The sequence below is a fragment of the Homo sapiens genome, chromosome 6 (genome assembly GCF_000001405.40).
Source record: "Homo sapiens chromosome 6, GRCh38.p14 Primary Assembly".
Classification (NCBI taxonomy): Eukaryota; Metazoa; Chordata; class Mammalia; order Primates; family Hominidae; genus Homo; species Homo sapiens.
Window position 1 is genome coordinate 85,662,744 of NC_000006.12, and position 21,065 is coordinate 85,683,808.

Sequence of the window (21,065 nt, forward strand, 5' to 3'; positions counted from 1 at the left end):
TGAAGTGGAGGGAGAAAGTGGAGGAAGTCAAAGAACTGATAAACCAAATTGTATGGACATTGACATGTAAATATTAGAAATAGATATTACAGAATAGAGCCATGAACCTGGTCCCAAACTCTTCAAAATTAATAAGGGGCAGTAACCACAAAGTAAGAAAATGATAGCCTCGAAGTAAGACAAAAGGTGACAGGCCAAGTGGCCATGAACATGAAAAGATCAGGGGGTTTTACATAAAGATGGAGGAGTAATTGTTAAGAAGTGGCAGTAGGGAGGCCGGACACGGTGGCTCACGCCTGTAATCCCAGCACTTTGGGAGGCTGAGGCGGGCAGATCACTTGAGGCCAGGAGTTCAACACTAGCCTGGCCAACATGGTGAAACCTTGTCTCTACTAAAAGTATATAAATTAGGCTGGGCATGGTGTCTCACGCCTGTAATTGCAGCACTTTGGGAGGCAGAGGCAGGTGGATCGCTTGAGGTCAGGAGTTCAAGACCAGCCTAGCCAACATGGTGAAACCCCATTTCTACTAAAAATACAAAAATTAGCTGGGCGTGGTGGCACACGCCTGTAATCCCAGCTACTTGGGATGCTAAGGCAGAGAATCGCTTGAACCTGGGAGGTGGAGGCTGCAGTGAGCCGAGAGCGTTCCACTGCACTCCAGCCTGGGCAACAGGGCAAGACTCCATCTCAAAAAAATAAAATAAAATAAAAAATAAATAAAAATACATACATTGGCTGGGTGTGGTGACATGCATCTGTAATCCCAGCTACTAGGGAGGCTGAGGCATAAGAATCGCTTGAACCTGGGAGCCGGACGTTGCAGTGAGCCGAGATTGTGACACTGCCCTCCAGCCTGGGTGACAGAGTGAGACTCTGTCTCAAAAAAAAAAAAAAAAAAGTGGCAGTACGGAGCAAGGAAGATACTAACCTTAACTTCATACCTGAGGGAGGAAGCAAGCTGCAGCAAGAGAAAGCAGTACCCTAAGGAAGGAAGAATCAGATTTTAATTAGGGCAAGGACGTGGAAGAAATGCATGCACCCAAAAAAAATGGTGGAGGATATAGGGGTAGTTTCTTATCCCTGTAGACTGTGCAATGGAAGGATTGAGAGAGAGAGGGCCATGTTGGGGGGTAGTGTAGACTAGAATGGCTGCAAATGGATATGAGAGGATAGATTACCAGAGAGGTTTAATTTTTTAATGGTAATATAAACCCACTAGCTAGAGATTATTCTACTGTCCAGAGATAACCAGTGTACCATTAAACATTTGGACTATTTATTGCTATAAACTTTGTCATCAGGATAAAATTAAAGGCAACCTAAATTTCTAAAATTGATTAAATAACCGTTTAATATCTACAAAAATAAAATGCAGCCAGGCGCAGTGGCTCACACCTGTAATTGTAGCACTTTGGGAGGCCAAGGCAGGTGGATCACTTGAGGTCAGGAGTTCGAGACCAGTCTGGCCAACATGGTGAAACCCCATTTCTACTAAAAATACAAAAATTAGCTGGGCGTGGTAGTGCGCACTGCAGCCTGGGCAACCAAGTGAGACTCTGTCTCAAAAAAAAAAAATTAAAAAATAATCCAGGCACAGTGGCTCATGCCTGTAATCCCAGCACTTTGGGAGGCCAAGGTAGGCAGATCTCAAGGTCAAAAGATTGAGACTATCCTGGCCAACATAGTGAAACCCTGTCTCTACCAAAAATACAAAAATTAGCTGGGCATAGTGGCGCGTGCCTGTAGTCCCAGCTACTCGGGAAGCTGAGACAGGAGAATTGCTTGAACCCGGGAGGTACAGGTTGCAGTGAGCCGAGATCGCGCCACTGCACTCCAGCCTGGCAACAGAGTGAGACTCTGTCTCAAAAAAAAAAAAAAAAAAGAATAAAAAAAAATGCTCTCAATATTGCCAATGAAAAGAATGAGTAGAATTTTTAATAATGTTGAAAATTGTCATGATAGAAATTAAATGAGCTGGGTGTGGTGGCCCTCGCCTGTAGTCCGATTTATTGGGGAGGTTGAAGCCAAGAATTGCTTGAACACTGGAGTTCGAGGCCAGCCTGGGTTACATAGCAAGATCCTGTGTCTAAAATAAATAAATATTTTTTAAAAAAGAATATTAAATGAAAGGAATCAGGATGACAAACTGTATATAATTCAAATTTTATTAAAATTTATATCTGCATAGAATAATACATCAAAAATTGTATAACAGTTACCTCTGAGTGGTGGGATTATAGGTTATTTTAATCTTCATATCTTCCTTATTTTTACATTTCATATCTTTTATATATCTTTTTATAATTTTTGTAGGTTAAAAAATAGAGCCTTTAGGAAATTAGATACAGTCAAACACCTCAAAACCTCATGTCTAAAAATTGAAAGTGTATACTTTACTTACTCTAGAGGTATGTGTTCTCCAGAATAATTTTTTATTGAAGTTAAAATTTGATAAATAATTTAAATACCAAGAAAATGGTTAACAGAAAACTGTGTAGGACACAGTTTCTCTTATTTGGATTTCACTGGATCTCTCAAGCTTAATAGGTTGTATTTATTCTTTATTTTTGAGACAGGGTCTTGCTCTGTTGCCCAGGCTAGGATGCAGTGGCACACACACAGCTCACTGCAGCGTTGACCTCCTGGACTTCTCGCGCCTCAGCCTCCCAAGTAGCTGGGACCACAGACTTGTGTTACCATGCTTGGCTAATTTTTAAAATTTTCATAGAGACGGGTCTCACATTGTGTTGCCCAGGCTGGCCTTGAATTCCTATGCTCAAGTGAGCCTCCCACCTTGGCCTCCCCAAGTGCTGGCATTATAGACATGAGCCACCATGCCTGGCTAGTTGTATTTATTCTATATTAAATAGAATGGTCAAATAAATTTAAGTTTCTATTATATGAATCATCCATTAACCATAAATCTACAAAGAACATTAACTTAGTTTTTGAGTATATTGTACTTCCTGAAATATGACTGTTTAGTAAGATAGGCAATAATACAATGGACAAGACTGACATCACTAGTTGATAGAAGTGTTTAATGTGTACAGTTGACCCTGTATCTTTTTTTTTTGACGGAGTTTTGCTCTTGTTGCCCAGGTTGGAGAGCAGTGGTGTGATCTGGGCTCACTGCAACCTTTGCCTCTCGGATTCAAGCGATTCTTCTGCCTCAGCCTCTGGAGTAGCTTGGATTACAAGCGTGCACCACCATGCCCAGCAAATTGTTTTGTATTATTAGTAGAGATGGGGTTTTACCATGTTGGCCAGGCTGGTCTCAAGCTTCTGACCTCAGGTGATCCACCCGCCTTGGCCTCCCAAAGTGCTGGGATTACAGGCGTGAGCCACTGCACCGGGCCAACCCTCTATATCTGTGGGTTTCATGTCCATGGATTCAACTAACTGCAAAACAAAAATATTAGGAAAAGAACAATTAAAAATAACAGTACAACAATAAGAAATGACAAATAAAAATACAGCAACTATTTACAACATAGCATTTACATTGTATGTATTAGTTTTTTTTTTTTTTTTTTTTTTTTTTTTTTTTTTTTGAGACCAGAGACCAGGTCTTGCTCTATCACCCAGCAGCTGCAGTGGAGTGGTGTGATCTTGGATCACTGCAACCTCTGCCTCCAGGGCTCAAGCGATTCTCCCACATCAGCCTCCTGAGTAGCTGGGATTACAGGTGCATGCCACCATGCCTGGCTAATTTTTTATTTTTATTTTATTTGAGACAGAGTCTCGCCCTGTCACCCAGGCTATAGTGCAATGGTGCAGTCTCAGCTCACTGCAACCTCTGACTCCTGGGTTCAAACAATTCTCCTGCCTCAGCCTCCCGAGTAGCTGGGATTACAGGTGCCCGCCACCATGCCCAGCTATTCGTTGTATTTTTAGTAGAGACAGGGTTTTACCACGTCAGCGAGGCTGGTCTCACACTCCTGACATCGTTGGCCTCCCAAAGTGCTGGGATTACAGGCATGAGCCACTGCACCGGCCTTATTTTTATATTTGTAGAGATGGGGTTTCACCATGTCGCCCAAGCTAGTCTCGAACTTCCGGACTCAAGCAATTTGTCTGCCTTGGCCTCCCAAAGTAGTGGGATTACAGGCGTGAGCCACCGTGCCTGGCCACATTGTATTAGGTATTATAAGTAATCTAGAGATGAAAATTACTTAAATTACAATCATGCACAGTATAATTACCTTTTCTGGCCAAAGATGGACTTCATACATGATAGCGGTTCCATAAGATTACAATGCACTATTTTTACTGTATCTTTTTTATGTTTAGATACATATATAGTTACTATTGTTTTACACTTGTCATAGTATTCAGTACAATAACATACTGTACAGGCTTGTACGTATATATATAGACACATATATATACACATATATCTCAAACCATCCTTTGCTGGCATTAAACTCTCCAGCTGTAAGTTCTTCACCTTGTCAAGTGCAGTGGGAGCACTCCAGCACTTTGGGAGGCTGAGGTGAGAGGATCACTTGAGTCCAGGAATTTGAGACCAATCTGGGTAATAGAGAGAGACCCTGTCTCCACAAAAAAAGGAAAAAAAAAAAAAAGCCAGTTGTGTGTGGTGGCATGCACCTGCTAGTTGCAGCTACTTGGGAGGCTCCTGGGCTCAAGTCATCTGTGTGTCTTGGCCTCCCAAAGTGCTGGAATTATAAGTGTGAGCCACCACTCCCTGCCGTGCTGGTTTTTTTGTTGTTTTTGTTTGTTTGTATTTTGTTTTTTTTGAGATGGAGTCTTCACTCTGTGGCCCAGGCTGGAGTGCAGTGGTGCAATCTTCACTCACTGCAACCTCCGCCTCCTGGGTTCGAGCGATTCTCCTTCCTCAGCCTCCTGAGTAGCTGGGATTATAGAAGCCTGCCACAAAGCCTGGCTAATTTTTGTATTTTTAGTAGAGATGGGGTTTCACCATGTTGGTCAGGCTGGTCTCAAACTCCTGACTTTGCAGGTCACATATTTTTTTAACTGAAGGTATCTGATAGACTTAACTTATTCGAACGTAGTGGCTCACAATGTTGTGTTTACTGATATGCATAGAAACACCCAATTTTATTAACAGTTATAGCTAATGCATAATGACAAGCGCTATATTAAACATTTTATATGCATCATTTCTTTTCTTGTTCTTCCTTTTTTTTTTTTTTATATATGTAGTCTCCATCTGTCACCCAGATTGAAGTGCAATGGCGCGATCTAGGCTCACTGCAACCTCCACCTCCTGGGTTCAAGTGTTTCTCCTGCCTCAGCCTCCCGAGTAGCTGGGATTACTGGCACCTGCCACCACGCCTGGCTATTTTTTGTATTTTTAGATTTTTAGTAGAGATGGGGTTTCACCATGTTGGCCAGGCTGGACTTGAACTCCTGACATTTGGTGATCTGCCCACCTCGGCCTCCCAGAGTGCTGGAATTATAGGCATGAGCCACCTCATCTGGCCTGCATTATTTCATTTAATGCATGTAAAGTATCTCTAAAGCATATGCTCTGACTGGAATACCCTGAATTTAATCACAAAGAGAACATATGAGAGCACTGTGGAATCATGAAGACATTATATATCTATATGGACAGGTGGGCTACGTTTCTGGCAGCAGGAAACGGCCCTGTTCTGTTACAGCACTAGCCACAACACAATAAAACCAAATTATGAAGAAACACAATATCTTTTGTTAGAAATTAAATCAACTTAAAAAATTCACAGATTAAAAAAATTTTATTCTATAAATTTCAAACATGTACAAAAATAGAGAAAGAGTATAATAAACTCCAAAGAGCCCATCATCCAACATTAACAATTATCAACTTCAGGCTAATCTTGTTTCATCTCTACCCTTCAACCACTTCCTTTGTTTTCTGTATTATTTTGCAACAAATCTCAGACATCAAATCATTTCATCCATAAATAACTCAGTATATTTGTCTAAAAGATACAGCCTCTTGAACAACAAAAAGAGCCACAATGCCATTATCACATCTAACAAAGTCCCAATTATTTTTTAATACATGAAATAGCCTGTGTTTAAACATATATCTCATAAATTCATTTTTTAAAACAATATTGAATGAGAATCCAACTGGGATGCAAACATTGAGAATGTTGATATATCTTTTCAGTTTCTTGATTTGTAGGTTACCCATTCATCTCGTTTGGTTGGTTTCTTTCCTTGCAATTTATTTGTTATAGAAATCATTTGTAGAGTTTTCCATAGTCTGGATTTTGCTGATTGTATCTTTGTAATGTAGTTTAACATATGTCTTTGTAATCTATAAATTAGTAATTATATCCAGAGGCTTTATCAAATTCATATTCATTTTTGTTGTTTTCAGACAAGAGTCTGAAATAGGCAGAGGCAAATTCTTTCTTCAGGGACATATAATATCTTATCACCTCTTTTTTGGATGTTAGCAGTCATTGATATTTATTGCCTATACATTAATTCATTAGAATGTTGCAAAATGATGATCTTCTAATTATGCCAATCTTTTTTCATTGTTAACTGGAATATATCAATAAAGACAAACTTTTTATCACCTTTTATTTGGTTATGTCAGTACAGTTGGTATTGGAAAGTCCCTTTATTTGCAGTTCTGAAACTGATGATTAGCATCCTTTAACACTTATATTAAATTCAGTTTTTTAAAGTATCATTCTGAATTCATAGATTTGAAGACATGTCTTTTTCTCTATTTTTTCTCTATTACACCTCAATAATAGTCAAATTTTCTATCTTTGGAAAGTGAGAGACTCTCCAAGTTTACTCCTGAGTTCCTTTTTTTTTTGAGATGGATCTCCCTCTGTCACCCAGGCTGGAGTGCAGTGGCGAGATCTCAGCTCACTGCAACCTCCGCTTCCCGGGTTCAAGCAATTCTCCTGTCTCAGCCTCCTGAGTAGCTGGGATTACAGGCACCCGTCGCCATGCCCAGCTAATTTTTGTATTTTTAGTAGAGATGGGGTTTCACCACGTTGGCCAGGCTGGTCTCAAACTCCTGACCTGAAGTGATCTGCCTGTTTTGTAATCCTTGCTGGGATTACAGGCGTGAGCCACCGTGCTTGGCCTCCTGAGTTCTTCTAACACAACTCCAGCAGTCTTGCTACCTGTTATAGCAACGTACAACAAGCTCATCTTGTACATTTCCTGTCTCAGATCTGTTTCCTTTTAGTGGTAAGTGGTATTTAGAGGCCACAATCTGGGCCCTAGGGGTAGGGTTCATAGATTTTGATGTGTATGAATCATACTTGGAGTTTCTGTGTTTTCTTTCACAGTGGTTCCCATTTGACTAAGAATGAAATCCTTTCAATGACCCATTAAGCCCTACATAAGCTGCAGGCCTTGCTTCCTTTCTCACTATGCATGCTCCTTCCTATGGGCCACTGCTATGGAAATGCCCTTTTCCCAGATATATGCACAGATCAATCTCTCACCCTCTGTTAGGTGAGAGATTGAGCTATGCACATATCTAAATCTCTGCTTAATTAATCTCAACTTTTCATTGAAGCCTATTCTGTCAACCCCATTTACTTCAATTGCCTCTCAGATGAGAGAATCCCCATTTGAAACTGCAACACTAATTATCTCCCCAAACCCACTCCCAATGTCTCATATTCTATTTTTTCTGTGTCATTTCTCATTTTTTAACATAGCTTATAATTTATTTATTATATAATGTCCTTCTCCTCTTCCTACAATGTAAGCTCCACAAGGGCAGAGGTTTTTGTTTGGTTCACTACTGTATCTTTAGTGCCTAGGATAGTACCTATACATGGTAGGCATTCAGGATATTTGCTCAATGAACAAATGAATGCAAACCTTGGTATATTTCTGAATCATCACACACTTAGTCTATCAGTATGGTTCAATCTCCTGAGGAACAGATTGAATTGAAAGCAAGCAATATCCTTCAAGAAAGTGAGCTACATCAATATGTGGGGACAAGTCCATGAATTTCAAAACTATCCTGACGTTTCTGGGCATGAGGCCAAACTCAGAACAATGTTTGTGTCCCTCCCTCCCTCCTTCCCTCCTTCCCTCTCTTCCTTCCTTTCTCTTTTTCTCTCCCTTCCTCCCTTTCTCTCTCTCTCTCTTTCTTTCTCTTGAGATGGGGTCTTGCTGTGCCTAGGCTGGTCTTCAACTCCTGGGCTCAAGCGATTCTCCTGCCTCAGCCTCCGGAGTAGCTGGGATTACAGGTGTGTACCATCAAGCCAGACTAATTTTTGTATTTTTAGTAGAGATGGGGTTTCACCATGTTGGCCAAGCTGGTCTTGAACTCCTGACCTCAAGTGATAATGCCCGCCTTGGCCTCCCAAAGTGCTGGGATTACAGGCGTGTGCCACCACGCCCGGCTGCTTTTTTTCTTTTTTTTAAGGGCTAGTCAGTGTACATTCACTTTCGAAAAAGAAATGTAACATAAACTCAGAATCTCCATCAGCAATGAAATTCAAGTCAGAATTACGATGTATCTCAAGGAGTACACCTTACTATTGCTCCAGAGTAGTTTACTGTGTTTAATGCTTTATGTTCTCATTGAAGCAATTAAACTAATCAACTATTAGCAACAATTCCCAAACTGTACTTTTGTTATTTATTTTGTTTTTTGAGACGGAGTCTTGCTCTGTCACCCAGGCTGGAGTCCAGTGGCACAATCTTGGCTCACTGCAACATCTGCCTCCTGGGTTCAAGCAATTCTCCTGCTTCAGCCTCCCAAGTAGCTGGGATTACAGGTGCGTGCCACCACACCCGACTAATTTTTGTGTTTTTAGTAGAGACGGGGTTTCACCATGTTGGCCAAGTTGGTCTCGAACTCCTGACCTCAAGTGATCTGCCCACCTTGGCCTCCCAAAGTGCTGGGATTACAGGTGTGAACCACCGTGCCCGGCCTTAATCAACTACTTTTATACAAAAGTACAGGTTAGGGCCGGGTGCGGTGGCTCACGCCTGTAATCCCAACACTTTGGGAGCCTGAGGTGGGCAGATCACGAGGTCAAGAGATCAAGACCATCCTGGCCAACATGGTGAAACCCTGTCTCTACTAAAAATACAAAAATTAGTTGGGCGTAGTGGCATGCGCCTGTAGTCCCAGCTACTCAGGAGGCTGAGGCAGGAGAATCACTTGAACCCGGGAGGCAGAGGTTGCAGTGAGCTGAGATGGCACCACTGCACTCCAGCCTGGCGACAGAGCACGACTCTGTCTTAAAAAAAAAAAAAAAAGTGGTTGATTAAAATTATTTGGTATAGGTGTGGCCACTCACATCAATAATCCCAGCTACTCAGGAGGCTGAGGCAGGAAGACCACTTGAGGTCTGGAGTTCAAGACCAGCTTGGGCTACACAGTGAGCTCTCATTTCACTGCTTAAAAAAAAAAAAAAAAGCATCTTGGTGAGGAGACTCACATTTGTAATCTCAGCACTTTTGGAGGCCAAGGTGGAAGGATCACTTGAGGTCAGGAGTTTAAGAGCAGCCTGGGAAACATAGTGACACCCCATCCCTATAAAAAGTAATACAAATCAGCTGAGCTTGGTGGCACATGCTAGAGGATCTCCTGGTTATTTGGGAGGCTGAGTGGGAGGATCCCTTGAGCCCAAGAGTTCAAGGTGGCAGTGAGCTATGATTAGGCCACTGCATTCCAGCCTGGGTGACAGAGTGAGAACCTGTCTCTAAAATAATTAATGATGATAATAATAATGATGTTATTTGGCCTATATTTTTGTTACTGCTCATATCCATATTTTTAATGTACTCAATGTGTTTTTATTGATGGTATGGCCTTCAGTTATGAAAAATATGGATATAAGCATAATAAAGACACAGTGCAAATAACTTTAAATAACTTTTTCTTTTTTTTTTTTTGAGAAAGGGTCTCACTCTTGCCCAGCTAGAGTGCAGTGGCACAATCATAGCTCACTGCGGTCTTGAACTCCTGGGCTCAAGCAATCCTCCCATCTCAGCCACCACGTAGCCAGATCCTCCAAGTAGCCCAGCTAATTTTTTAACACTTTGTAGAGACGGGCTTGCTATGTTGCCCACTGGTCTCAAATTCCTGGCTTCAAGCGAACTTCCCACTTTGGCCTCCCAAAGTACTGGGAGTTTACAGGTATGAGCTACTGCACCTGGCCTAATCAACTATTTTTGTACAAAGGACAATTTGGGGTTTGTTGCTAATAGTTGGTCACTTTAACTGCATCAATAGGAACATAGGCATAAAACACATTAAACTTCTCTAGGGCAATAGCAAGGTGTGTTCTTTGGGGTATATCTCAATTCTGACTTTTGAACGTCATCACCAGTAATGATTCTGGACTTACATTATACTTCTTTTTGGGGTATTCAAAATATGAATTTTGGGGGTATAAAGTCAGGCCACAACAGCTTCCAACTTTTCTCATTTCTCTTTTGGAGAATTTAAATCACACCACCAGTTCCACCCTAAAAAACATGTTAAACTCCATTCCATTAGATATTTTATGGATGCCATTACATTGTCCTAGGCACCAAGTTTAAACAGAGATTAAAGGGAAGTCTCTGCTTTAGAAGAACTGACACTCCAGGTCCAGAAGGGAGAAACCAATAATCACAACATGTTATACGGCTCATTCCACAGTATAATTGGAGAGGGGCTTAGTCTACCATTTTCAACAGCACATTTCTATAGCACATCTGATCCTCTGTCATTACCTGTGACAATTTTCCAGCCCTCTCCTGTTTTTTTTTTTTCCTTCCCCGATCAGCTTGGGATTACAAGGTCAATACAGTAATTTGAGCACTTTTACTTGCATCCTCAGTACTCTTGGCCCATTATTCCTCTGCTCCTCCTGGTCAGTTTATCCCTGATTTTGGATTAATCCAGTCTCTGCTTTCTGCTCCCAAGGAGATAAGCACCACACAATACTGAAGAAATATGCTGATTTTTGTTAAAATTGGTGGTTTTCAGCCTCAGCTGATACTTTATCAATGCTAGGCAAATTTATAACTTGTCCATGGTCAGCTCCATTTTCTCCCAATCTGCAGTGTCTGATGAAAAAGCCTTATCATACTTCCTAAATTCCTCATCTTATTCTCTCCTGAAGATCACTTCGTCTGTTACTTTGCAAAGTCATGATCAGACACTATCTTCAGTTTTCATGTTGACCAATGGTCTATATTAAATCCAAGGCAATTTCCAGCAAGTTTTGCTTGGTTCTTATCCTTTTTTCTTGGCTCATTTCATTCCAGGCATCCTTGGTTTTCTACTTAGTTTCTGTTCCTAACAAATATGGCCCTTGAACTTGGCAGCAGATTCCTGCGTCCTGATTTTTGTCCCTTGGCACAAATTATTCTCTAGGATTTGAATAAACCTGGAATGTCCTAATCCTGAAAGGCCACAGGGTTCAACTCTTGGACTTTTTTCTCTATTGGTGATCTCATCTAATCTTATGGCTTTAAATATGCCTTCCATATGTTAACTCCCAATTTTATTTTAGTCAGACCTCTCCTCTGAACTGTGGACCTCTATATCTAACTGCCTACTCAAAAATCCCAATTTGAATAACATGTGCTATTTAAACTTAACATGTTCAAAATCAAGCCAACAATAGAATATTTTTGGGAGTGATGGATATAGTCATTATCTTGATTATGTTGATGGTTTCATGAGTATATTCCTATGAAAAACCCATCAAATTGTATACTTTTTAAATGTACACATTTTTGTACATCAGTTATATTCACTACAGGAGGCAAGGACAAAAGTTTCCTGATCTCAGTGAAGTAATGCATATTTGTAAATTATTGCCTTCAAATGATACATTTTTTGCATATTCTGAAGTGCCTTTTCCATTGCTCTTTTGAAGTGAACTATAATAAATGAAGTAACAAGAAAGATAAAGTTCTCAAATAGGTTGGACTGGACTGTACTTGATTTGGGATTCTGATTAAACCCTCATTAACTCTGACAAACTCAGCTATATGGCATGCTGAGACCTCAGCAGTGGAATAGTAGTACCAGGAGGAGACCAGGACTCATGAGAGTAAGACAAGGAGTCTGGTTCTCATACTGAAAATGTATCCTCTTCTGCCCCAAGATGCTCTCTACAAGATGTTACTCTACAGGATGGAGTAAGATCAGAGGCAGTGGCAATATTCAGACAGTTAAGTCATGTATACTAATATATACCTATAACTAAGTACTATAAGTATTGTTTGGATCCAGAACCAAGCTTTTGAAAAGGCAGGAAGGAGGGTCCCACTCCTATTAAAGGACTGGCAAAAGATAAGCAGGTTATTCTAGTAGGCTGATTCAAACAAAGGCTCTAATCCCAACTGGGGAACTGTTAGAAAAACCATGAAAACAGCTGAAAGCTCTTTCATATACACAGGGCAGTGAGGATTGATGTTAGTTCACAGGACACTTGACTGGGGAGCCAAGCACAGTGGATATTGGGTTTCTGGCAATAGAACTAATTTTAGAAAGCACCAAATGGTAGGTTTGAGCTTACTGTATTTTAAGATTACCTGGAAGCCTGGTGTAAGGCAGAGGAAAAATTCCTGTTGGCTGAAGTCACTAAAGTCAGACACGTAAATTATCTTTCAACTTCTGAAACCAATCAGAATCAAGCATATCCCAGTCTATTATAGTCAAGCTCCTTAAGGATTTTTTTTTTTTTTAGCCTGGTCTGTTGCCCAGGATAGAAGACAGAGGTGCAATCATGGCTGATTGTAGCTTCAACCTCCTAGGTTCAAGTGATCCTCCTATCTCAGCCTCCCGAGTAGCTGGAACAAGCGCATGTTACCACACCCAGTTTTACTTATTTATAGAGATGACAACTTGCTGTTTCCAGGCTGGTCTCTTCCTGGGCTCAAGCAGAGTGCTGGGATTACAGGCATGAGTCACTGCACCTGGTCCCAAGCAGCAGCTATGCTCTGGAGGGTAAACTTAGGAAACTGATCTTAACCAATATCGCCTGAGATTTTAGGAGGCTATGACAGACTAACAGCCTCCTGTGTGATTAGAAATTGCCATCAAGGAGTCAGTAATTGAAACTGAACTTTCAAGTTCAATTCCATTCAAATTAAACCTTTTTGGATCTGACTCTCATTACAGGAATAGTCTTACATTTGTAACTTCCTTGCTCAAGAATCTTAAGGGTATTTATAACATCAGTTTTCTGTCCTACACCTATCCACCCTGTTGGTACCCAAATCCTCAATATTTGTCTCAGACTCTGAACCATACTGTCTTTGCTCAGTTATTTCTTAGGCCTATTGTCCCAACATCTGTGCTGGTTTAGACTCAAATCCACTTGTTCTATTTTCAAGAATCCTTCATAGCTTGACTTTTCCTTGGCATCTTGTGCCACTGTTGACAAAACGGTTTTATTTCAGGAGTCTTGGCAGAGCCTAGCACAAGCCAGTGCATATAAATGTGGAGTACTAATTTCGATAGATAATGTGACATATTAAAAAATCTATTGGGAGGCAAGGGAGGTAGAAGGAGCTACAGGAAAAGCGGTCAGAGGGCTCCAAAGCAACCAGTCTATTTCACAACTTTGTCTTGTTTGCCAGCTTTAACAAAACGGTAATGGCACTCTTCCTTGAAAACTGGAATCTCAATAGTCTTTTACCACATACTGTATAACAGTGCCTGGCCCTATTCTAGGCACTCTTGAACTAATGAAACACAGATCTTAAAATTTTATGCAGAAGTTGTGGGAGGGGGAGAAAGACAATGATTAACAGAGTTTTAAGTACGGTAGGTAAGGGCATCAGAGATCAAGGGTATAAACATAAACACAAGCAATGCTTTCAACTGCCATCTTACACACACTACCTTCATAGTGAAGGTACATTTTCTATCTCCAAACGTTACATGCCTAAGGCTTCTCTCTCATTTTATTTGGTAGTATCAGATAGCATTATGTAACCCATCCTGCCAAATGACCTCTTCCTAGATTTTAGCAAGCCTGAATGTCTTTACCAGATTGTTTTATCAGTAACCTTCCCTCATGACCATACTTAATAAACTGCTATTATTATTCTATTGTGCTCCTTATTTTCTGTATCTCATTCCCCCATTTCTCAACTTAAGCATCCAGGCTTTCAAAATTATAGTTACATCAAAACTAAATATTCCATGATTTGCTTAGTAACAATTACTTCTAATTCCTGTCTCTCCACTCTTACACTGATCCAAAAACCCTTACATTGTACCCTGCACAAACCCGAAACATTCACTCACAGTAATTTGATTACAAGGCTGGTTAGTGGATTTTCCATTTAATGCTCCCCATGTTATTTCAGGACCTATTTAAAAGTAATAACAAAAAGGAACATAATCCAAAATTACATGTTTTATTTTCATGTTTGTAAAACGAAGAGCTTTTTTCTGGATGGTTTTCTTATCAGCTTTTCACACAACAGTCAAGTAAACCTCGTGGCACTAGCCCTAGAAAAGGAAAAACACGAGATTCTTACAAGACTACAAACATTACAACATATGTAAAAGCATTAAAAGTATTAAAAAAAAATATTGTCCTTATAACGGTCCATCTCAGAAGCCAGATCCGTAAAAGTTTTTTTTTTTCAACAGAAGTTCAGGTTCGGGATAAGATCATCACAGATAAGACCAAGGACACAATATTCACTGATCTCTAAGCAAACAGAAAAACTCCACTTACAGAAATCGTTGCAACTTTGGAACTTCCAAGACAATCTGGCCTCTATCAATGGGCAGACAGCGACCCTCACTGTTGGCAGAAAAAAAAAAAACCCAGGATTTTATAACACAACTGTTATAAAATCACGGCAACAAAATTTACTCCACCTCTGAATTACTGGTCTTAATCTCAGAAGCCGAATCCGTACTTATTTTTCTTCAGGTTATCAGCTTCGGGATAGGTTTCATCATTGATTAGACCAATCAGACCTTGTATATGTACACATAATACATTAAACTGCACTTCTGTGACACTGACTACAAACCAAGGTAATGCTAAAAGGCAAGTATTATAGTACAAATACTACAGAACTTTTAAGCCATACAACCTACTTCAAAATGAAGCTGCTAGTCAGTCACATTCGACATTCATTATCTTCACTGGCTACTCGTCCACACTCAGAACGCTGTTCACTGACAAAAAAAATTTGATTTAGTCTAGGTGTGGATTAAATGCTATGCTCAATCATAAAGTACTAAAACAACACATACCTGTTAAAAGTGTCAGGTTTTAACCAAGCGATTTTCCATTAAATATTCTCCCAGATGTTCTGGAAGTTTTTTCGTGTATCTAACAAAAAAAAGTAAATTTCAAACGATGCAACAGTTCCTATTCCTGTAAATCAACAGGTTTACTCCTTTAGTTTGGAAACTAAGCTTAACTAAGCTCTTACCTTTGCATCTTCAGAGCTGCTCCACTGTGCCACTGAAGACAGCGCCATTGTTCCTGCGGGAAATCGGTATTTAAGCATTCTCGCAGAAATGTCACACTCCAAGGCGTTTTTCCACACAAAACCCTTCCCCTTCATTAATCCGAATTGCACACAACGCCGCCTTCGAACAGCTCAGTTTCAATACAGGGTCGAGGCTTCCCATTTTAAAACAACGCCGACGGAAGGCCTTCGCCATTTTAGTAAAGGCCCTTTGCTGTTAAAACTAACCCTCCGCCCCAATTAAGGTGGTTTTTCCGCCGCCGCTCAGGCACATGCCGGAGGCCAGCAAGTTCGGCGCCCGTGGCCGATCAGCGGTTCCTCACGCCAAAACTCGGAGCCTGTGGCCGTCACGACTCAACCTCAGTACATGTGGCAGTCCGGCCGCACGTTTCCCACGTGCAAGCTTTCAACTCTCAGCACTCTAAACTCTTCACTAAGATGTCTTCACAGGATTAAAGCTCTTAACTCGGCCTGCGCCACCATCTTTTGCTCGGATACTAGCCCGCAATACCCACTCACCTACCACCCGCCCAGACGCTCGCGAAGGCCGACGTAAAAGACCGAAGTGCGCAGCCAGTAGCTCCTTATATAGCCTCCCGGAGTCAGAACGAGGCCGTCCCGCCCTCTCGCACCTATTGGACATGGAAGTAGACAGGGGTGTGGTCGCGAATTAGCGGGAGCGCGCGCGGTGGCTCTTCTGAGGCCCGTTCCGCGTTGTGGAGCGCGCCGCAGGCCGGCCGCGCGCCCGGCCATTTCCCGGCGCGCGCCCGCAGGCGCACTGCGAAGCGTCTCTTACGAGTCTGGCGGCCGACTTGGCCCTACGTGGCGCGGGTGTGGCGCCAGAATTCAAACAGCTGCAGTTGGAAACGACGCTTTCGCCTGCCACGAGCCAAGTCCGTCCAGGACAGATTGGGTCCGAGAGTGGACACAAGTTTTGCAGCGCAGGGCGGCCTCAGCTTAGGACCGATTCGAGAAGCTGGGCTGGCTGGCTGGCTGGCGCTGGGCTGTAGTGGGCCCCCAGCGGAGGCCGCCGGAGGAGCGGGCGAGCCCTGGCCGCAGCACTCCGGGAAAGGGCAGTTGGCTGGCAGAAACGCTTGGGTGAAAAAGCGGAAAGCGCCACGTGAGAACAGCCCCGGCGTGCGGCCCTGCAGGGCCTCAGGGCGGGCATCAAGGCCCCATGGGGATCCATTCCTCCTCACGCTTCCTCGTGCCAGGCATCCGGTTACACTAAACGTGACCATACAAGTCTCCCTCAAACAGCGAACGTGAGGTTCAATACTCCATTTCGCAGAGGAGAAAACTGAGGCTTAAAACAGCCAGGTAATTTGCCTAAGGTCACACAGCTGAAATGCTTTGCTAATTTTTAACTTCTTTGTACTCAATTAGTTATATTGAAAACGAGAGAAAGATTAATTTGAGAAGTATCCCTGAATACTTTATCCAGACGACAAACACAAAATTCAAAAGCAGTGCTTTGATTAATTAGCATGTTCGAGTGAATATGTCTGCGTGTGTGTGTGTGCACACGACATTTGAACATTTCAGTATTTGAAAATTCAGGTCGTTCTTCACTTCTATATTTCAAAGCACTACTTATTAAAGTTGTTTATGTGTGCATTTGATTACGGTCCGATTCTGCTAGAGTGTGGGAGCAACACATCTGATTTCGTGCTCTGCTGTTTATTTTTTCTTAGAACAGTGCCTAGCATTAAGTAGGTTGTCGGTAATGGTTAAATGAATGAATGAATGAACAAATACATTCGGTGGCTTTTTAGAAAATTAGAATGAAGATCAAACTTCACATTCAAAGATAGTAGTGAAAAGCACTTTTCTCTAACAGGAACCTATATGATGAAGTATTGACTGGGCCGGGCATTTTGTCGGTTTTTGTATTACTTTGTAATGTCTTACATAAATTTGCATATTGCTCATAGTAAATAGTAAAACAAACAATACAGTACAAAAGGATATAAGAAGCAAAGTAGGCCGGGTGTGGTGGCTTATGTCTGTAATTAGAGCACTTTTGGAGGCTGAGGTGGGAGGATTGAGCCCAAGACCCTGTCTCTATTGTATTAAAAAAATTTTTAAAAAGAGTTAACAAAAAAAGCAAAGTGAAAGTATCTTTCCACATGCCTGGGAATCTTCTCCCTAGTTGTACTCTTCAGCAATACCACTGTTAACAGTTTTTGAGACTTCCTATGCAAATGCAAATATATGTACTTCGTTTTTCACATACAAATGGGATCTATATGTTCTGCAACTTGTTTGTCCGTCTTGTAAATATCATAAACATCTTTCCATATCAGTACATATAGATGACTTTTTTTTTCCAGACAAGGTCTCACTTTGTGACCCAGGCTGGAGTGCAGTGGCTCTATCTCTGTTCACTGCAATCTCGGGATCAAGTGATCCTTCTGCCTCAGCCCACCAACCATGTGGGACTACAAGCACGCGCCATCACGCCCTGTAATTTTTCTGTATTTTTCGTAGAGATAGAGTTTCTGCCATTCTGAAGACCACAAACATCACCTGGTCAAAAGCCATATAAAACAGTGATTCCTTACCCTGACTTACCAGTTAAAATCTGGTAAGTTAAAAAATATCAAATTTCTGGGCCCGAACCTGGAACCTTGAAAGCATAATGTTCAAAAGTGGGACCCAAAAATCCACATTTTAAACAAGCATTAGAGGCAATACTGTCCAATTGGAATATAATATGAACCACAAATGCAAGCTACACACGTAATTAAAAATGTACTAGTAGCCATATATATATATATATATATTTTTTTTTTTTTTTTTTTTTTTGAGAGTCTCACTCTGTCACCCAGGCTGGAGTGCAGTGGCTCGATTTCGGTTCACTGCAAGCTCTGCCTCCCGGGTTCACGCCATTCTCCTGCCTCAGCCTCCTGAGTAACTGGGACTACAGGCGCCCGCCACCACGCCCGGCTAATTTTTTTTTTTTGCATTTTTAGTAGAGTCGGGGTTTCACCATGTTAACCAGGATGGTCTCGATATCCTGACCTCGTAGTCCGCCCGCCTCGGCCTCCCAAAGTGTTGAGATTACAGGCGTGAACCACCACGCCAGGCCACACATTTTTAAAATGTAAAAAGGATCAGATGGGCCGGGCGTGGTGGTTCATGCCTGTAAGCCCAGCACTTTGGGAAGCCAAAACGGGTGGATTGCTTGAGCTCAGGAATTTGGGACCAGCCTGGGCAACATGGCAAAACTCTGTCTCTACAAAAAAAAAAATCAAAAATAAAAAATTAGCCGGGTGTGGTGGCTGAGGTGAGAACATAGCTTGAGCCCAGGAGGCAGAGGTTGCAGTGAGCTTGTGCACTGAGATTGTGCCTCTGCCTTCCAGCCTTGGTAACAGAGCCAGACCCTGTCTCAAAAAAAAAAAAAAAAGAAAAAAGGAAAGAAAAATGAAATTAGTTCTAATCTATTTTATTTAACCCAAATATAATCAAAGTTTTTTATTTTGACATAGAAACAATGTAAAAATCATTGAAATATTTTCCATTTGTTTTTTGTATGCAGTAAATGAAATCAGGTGTGTATTTTTTACTTACATCTCAATTTGGTCTGTACATTTATTACTTTTTAACTTTTAGGTTCGCGGACACATGCACAGGTTTGCTATATATAGGTAAACTCGTATCACAGGGATTTTTTTATACAGATTATTTTGTCACCCACGTATTATGCCTAGTACCCAGTAGTTATTTTTTCTGCTCCCTTCCATCCTCCAACCCTCCACCCTCAAGGAGGCCCTAGTGTCTGTAGTTCCCTTTTTTGTATTCATGAGTTCCCATCATTTAGCTCCCACTTATAAGTGAGAACACGCAGTATTTGGTTTTCTATTCCTGGATTAGTTTGCTAAGGATGATGGCTGCAGGTCCATCCATGTTCCTGCAAAAGACATGATCTCATTCTTTTTTATGGCTGTATAGTATTCCATGGTATATATGTACCACATTTTCTTTATTCAATCTGTCATTGATGGGCATTTAGGTTGATTTCATATCTTTGCTATTGTGGATAGTGCTGCAATGAACATTTACGTGCATGCGTGGTCTGTACTTTTCAAGTGCTCAGTTGTCACATGTGGCTGGCCGCTGCATTGGACAGCACACGTGTAGGGTGATTCATATAGATGTTTGAGAACCACAGTCTTAGGGTAAGAGAGGTACTACATATGTGATATACAGTCCAATCCTTTTTTAAAAAAAACCTTCCATGTTATTATTATTCTTTTTTATACGGACAGGGTCTTGCTCACTCAGGCTGGAGTGTAGTAGTGTGATCACAGCTCACTGCAGCCTGGAACTCCTTAGCTCAAGTGATCCTTCTGCCTCAGCCTCCCAAGTAGCTGGGACTACAGGTGTGTACTACCACACCTGACCAATTTTTTTTTTTTTTGGTTGAAACAGGGTCTTGCTCTGTTGACCAGGCTGGTCTCAAACTCCTGGCCTCAAGCAATCCTTCCACCTGGACCTCCCAAAGTGTTGGGATTACAGACATGGGCCATCTTGCTGAGCCCCGAATTACTTTTGATTCAAAAACTAATAACTGTAACAAGGGCAATGCAAAAATGAAATTAACTCAGAGCCTGATAATTGACAACAGTGCCTTCCTGTGAACGTGGTCAATGACTATAAAGTCAGTACACAACTCCTTTAAGATGTTTATCTCTTCAGGAAACAAAGATGAACTGAGGGATGAAGCCATCAGTTATTGCTCCCATACCTAAAACAGTCAAGCGAATTACTACCAAATATTTGAAGTGGCTTAATAAATATCAATACTGAAATTAAAAGTGTCTTGGAAGTCTTCATTATACTGAAAATAAATTCTTATATTCTATAACAAACTTCCTGATAAGATAATCACTTCAGTCATTTTTTTGAAGAAATGTTCACTGAACCCCTGGTGCATGCACTGTGCTTCAGATAAATCTAATGTGAATATACAAAAATCAACCTTGAAGGAATTTGTAGTTTAGTAAAAAGTAAAAGTGTCCACCCAACTTTTTACAAAGTTTAGAAATGAGATATTGTGAGGGACACCATTATAATTTTGACCATGAAAATGCAAGGTAGGGAAGGGTACAACATATGGTGAGCACTTGTTATATGCTGTTAGGTTCTTGTATGTGTTAGATCATGTACTCTTCAAGACAATTCTGGTGTGTATTTTTAACTTTATATTAGAAATGAGCAAAGTGAGGCATGGAGATCTCAGTTAACTAATGTTCCCAAGTGTTTCTGACCTTAAATGCATAATCATGTCACCACGGCATTATGTAGCTGTGCTGAAGTAAGAAATGAAGGATGTGATGATGAGAGGAAGAGAGAAGAGAGGAGTGAAGAAGAGAGGAGAAGAGAGGAAGTGGAGTGGAGCCCAGGTGGCTTAGAGAATGGCAGCTAGTTACTGGTTTGGGAGCAAGGAAAATAAGATAATTCCATTTTGGTTGTGTTAATTTTTGGGTGGAACATTGGTTGGTTATGGTTGTCCAATGGACCATCAGAAATGTGGACCTGAAGGCAGAGAAGAATCAGCACTAGAGGAGGACCATTGGCAAACACTAATGTAGAAGGGATGATTGAAGCTATGTGAACAGATGAGTGTGG

The 21,065-nt window shown here is 41.3% G+C and overlaps 1 long non-coding RNA gene and 2 other non-coding genes across 3 annotated transcripts, besides 4 other annotated features; all 3 read right to left on the reverse strand.

Annotated features, from left to right (window-relative positions):
- Positions 6,467–6,988: an enhancer, noted in NCBI's record as "OCT4-NANOG-H3K27ac hESC enhancer chr6:86378928-86379449 (GRCh37/hg19 assembly coordinates)". NCBI's record gives its function as "activates a minimal SCP1, AML or CMV promoter by ChIP-STARR-seq in naive H9 embryonic stem cells {active_cell/tissue: H9 hESC(naive)}" and the evidence as "EXISTENCE:reporter gene assay evidence [ECO:0000049][PMID:30033119]".
- Positions 9,254–9,454: a silencer, noted in NCBI's record as "peak5939 fragment used in MPRA reporter construct". NCBI's record gives its function as "represses an SCP1 promoter by STARR-seq MPRAs in K562 erythroleukemia cells {active_cell/tissue: K562}" and the evidence as "EXISTENCE:reporter gene assay evidence [ECO:0000049][PMID:32103011]".
- Positions 14,264–15,990, reverse strand: SNHG5 (small nucleolar RNA host gene 5). Its single transcript, NR_003038.2, has 6 exons — positions 15,951–15,990; positions 15,393–15,445; positions 15,211–15,289; positions 15,052–15,132; positions 14,681–14,749; positions 14,264–14,448 (listed from the first exon to the last, which is right to left on the reverse strand). It is a non-coding gene; the product is annotated as a small nucleolar RNA host gene 5 (long non-coding RNA).
- Positions 14,551–14,625, reverse strand: SNORD50A (small nucleolar RNA, C/D box 50A). The gene has a single exon (NR_002743.2). It is a non-coding gene; the product is annotated as a small nucleolar RNA, C/D box 50A (small nucleolar RNA).
- On the reverse strand, positions 14,846–14,916 carry SNORD50B (small nucleolar RNA, C/D box 50B). Its single transcript, NR_003044.3, has one exon. It is a non-coding gene; the product is annotated as a small nucleolar RNA, C/D box 50B (small nucleolar RNA).
- Positions 15,571–15,630: an enhancer, noted in NCBI's record as "active region_24790". NCBI's record gives its function as "activates an Ori minimal core promoter by ATAC-STARR-seq in GM12878 lymphoblastoid cells {active_cell/tissue: GM12878}" and the evidence as "EXISTENCE:reporter gene assay evidence [ECO:0000049][PMID:35858748]".
- Positions 15,801–15,960: an enhancer, noted in NCBI's record as "active region_24791". NCBI's record gives its function as "activates an Ori minimal core promoter by ATAC-STARR-seq in GM12878 lymphoblastoid cells {active_cell/tissue: GM12878}" and the evidence as "EXISTENCE:reporter gene assay evidence [ECO:0000049][PMID:35858748]".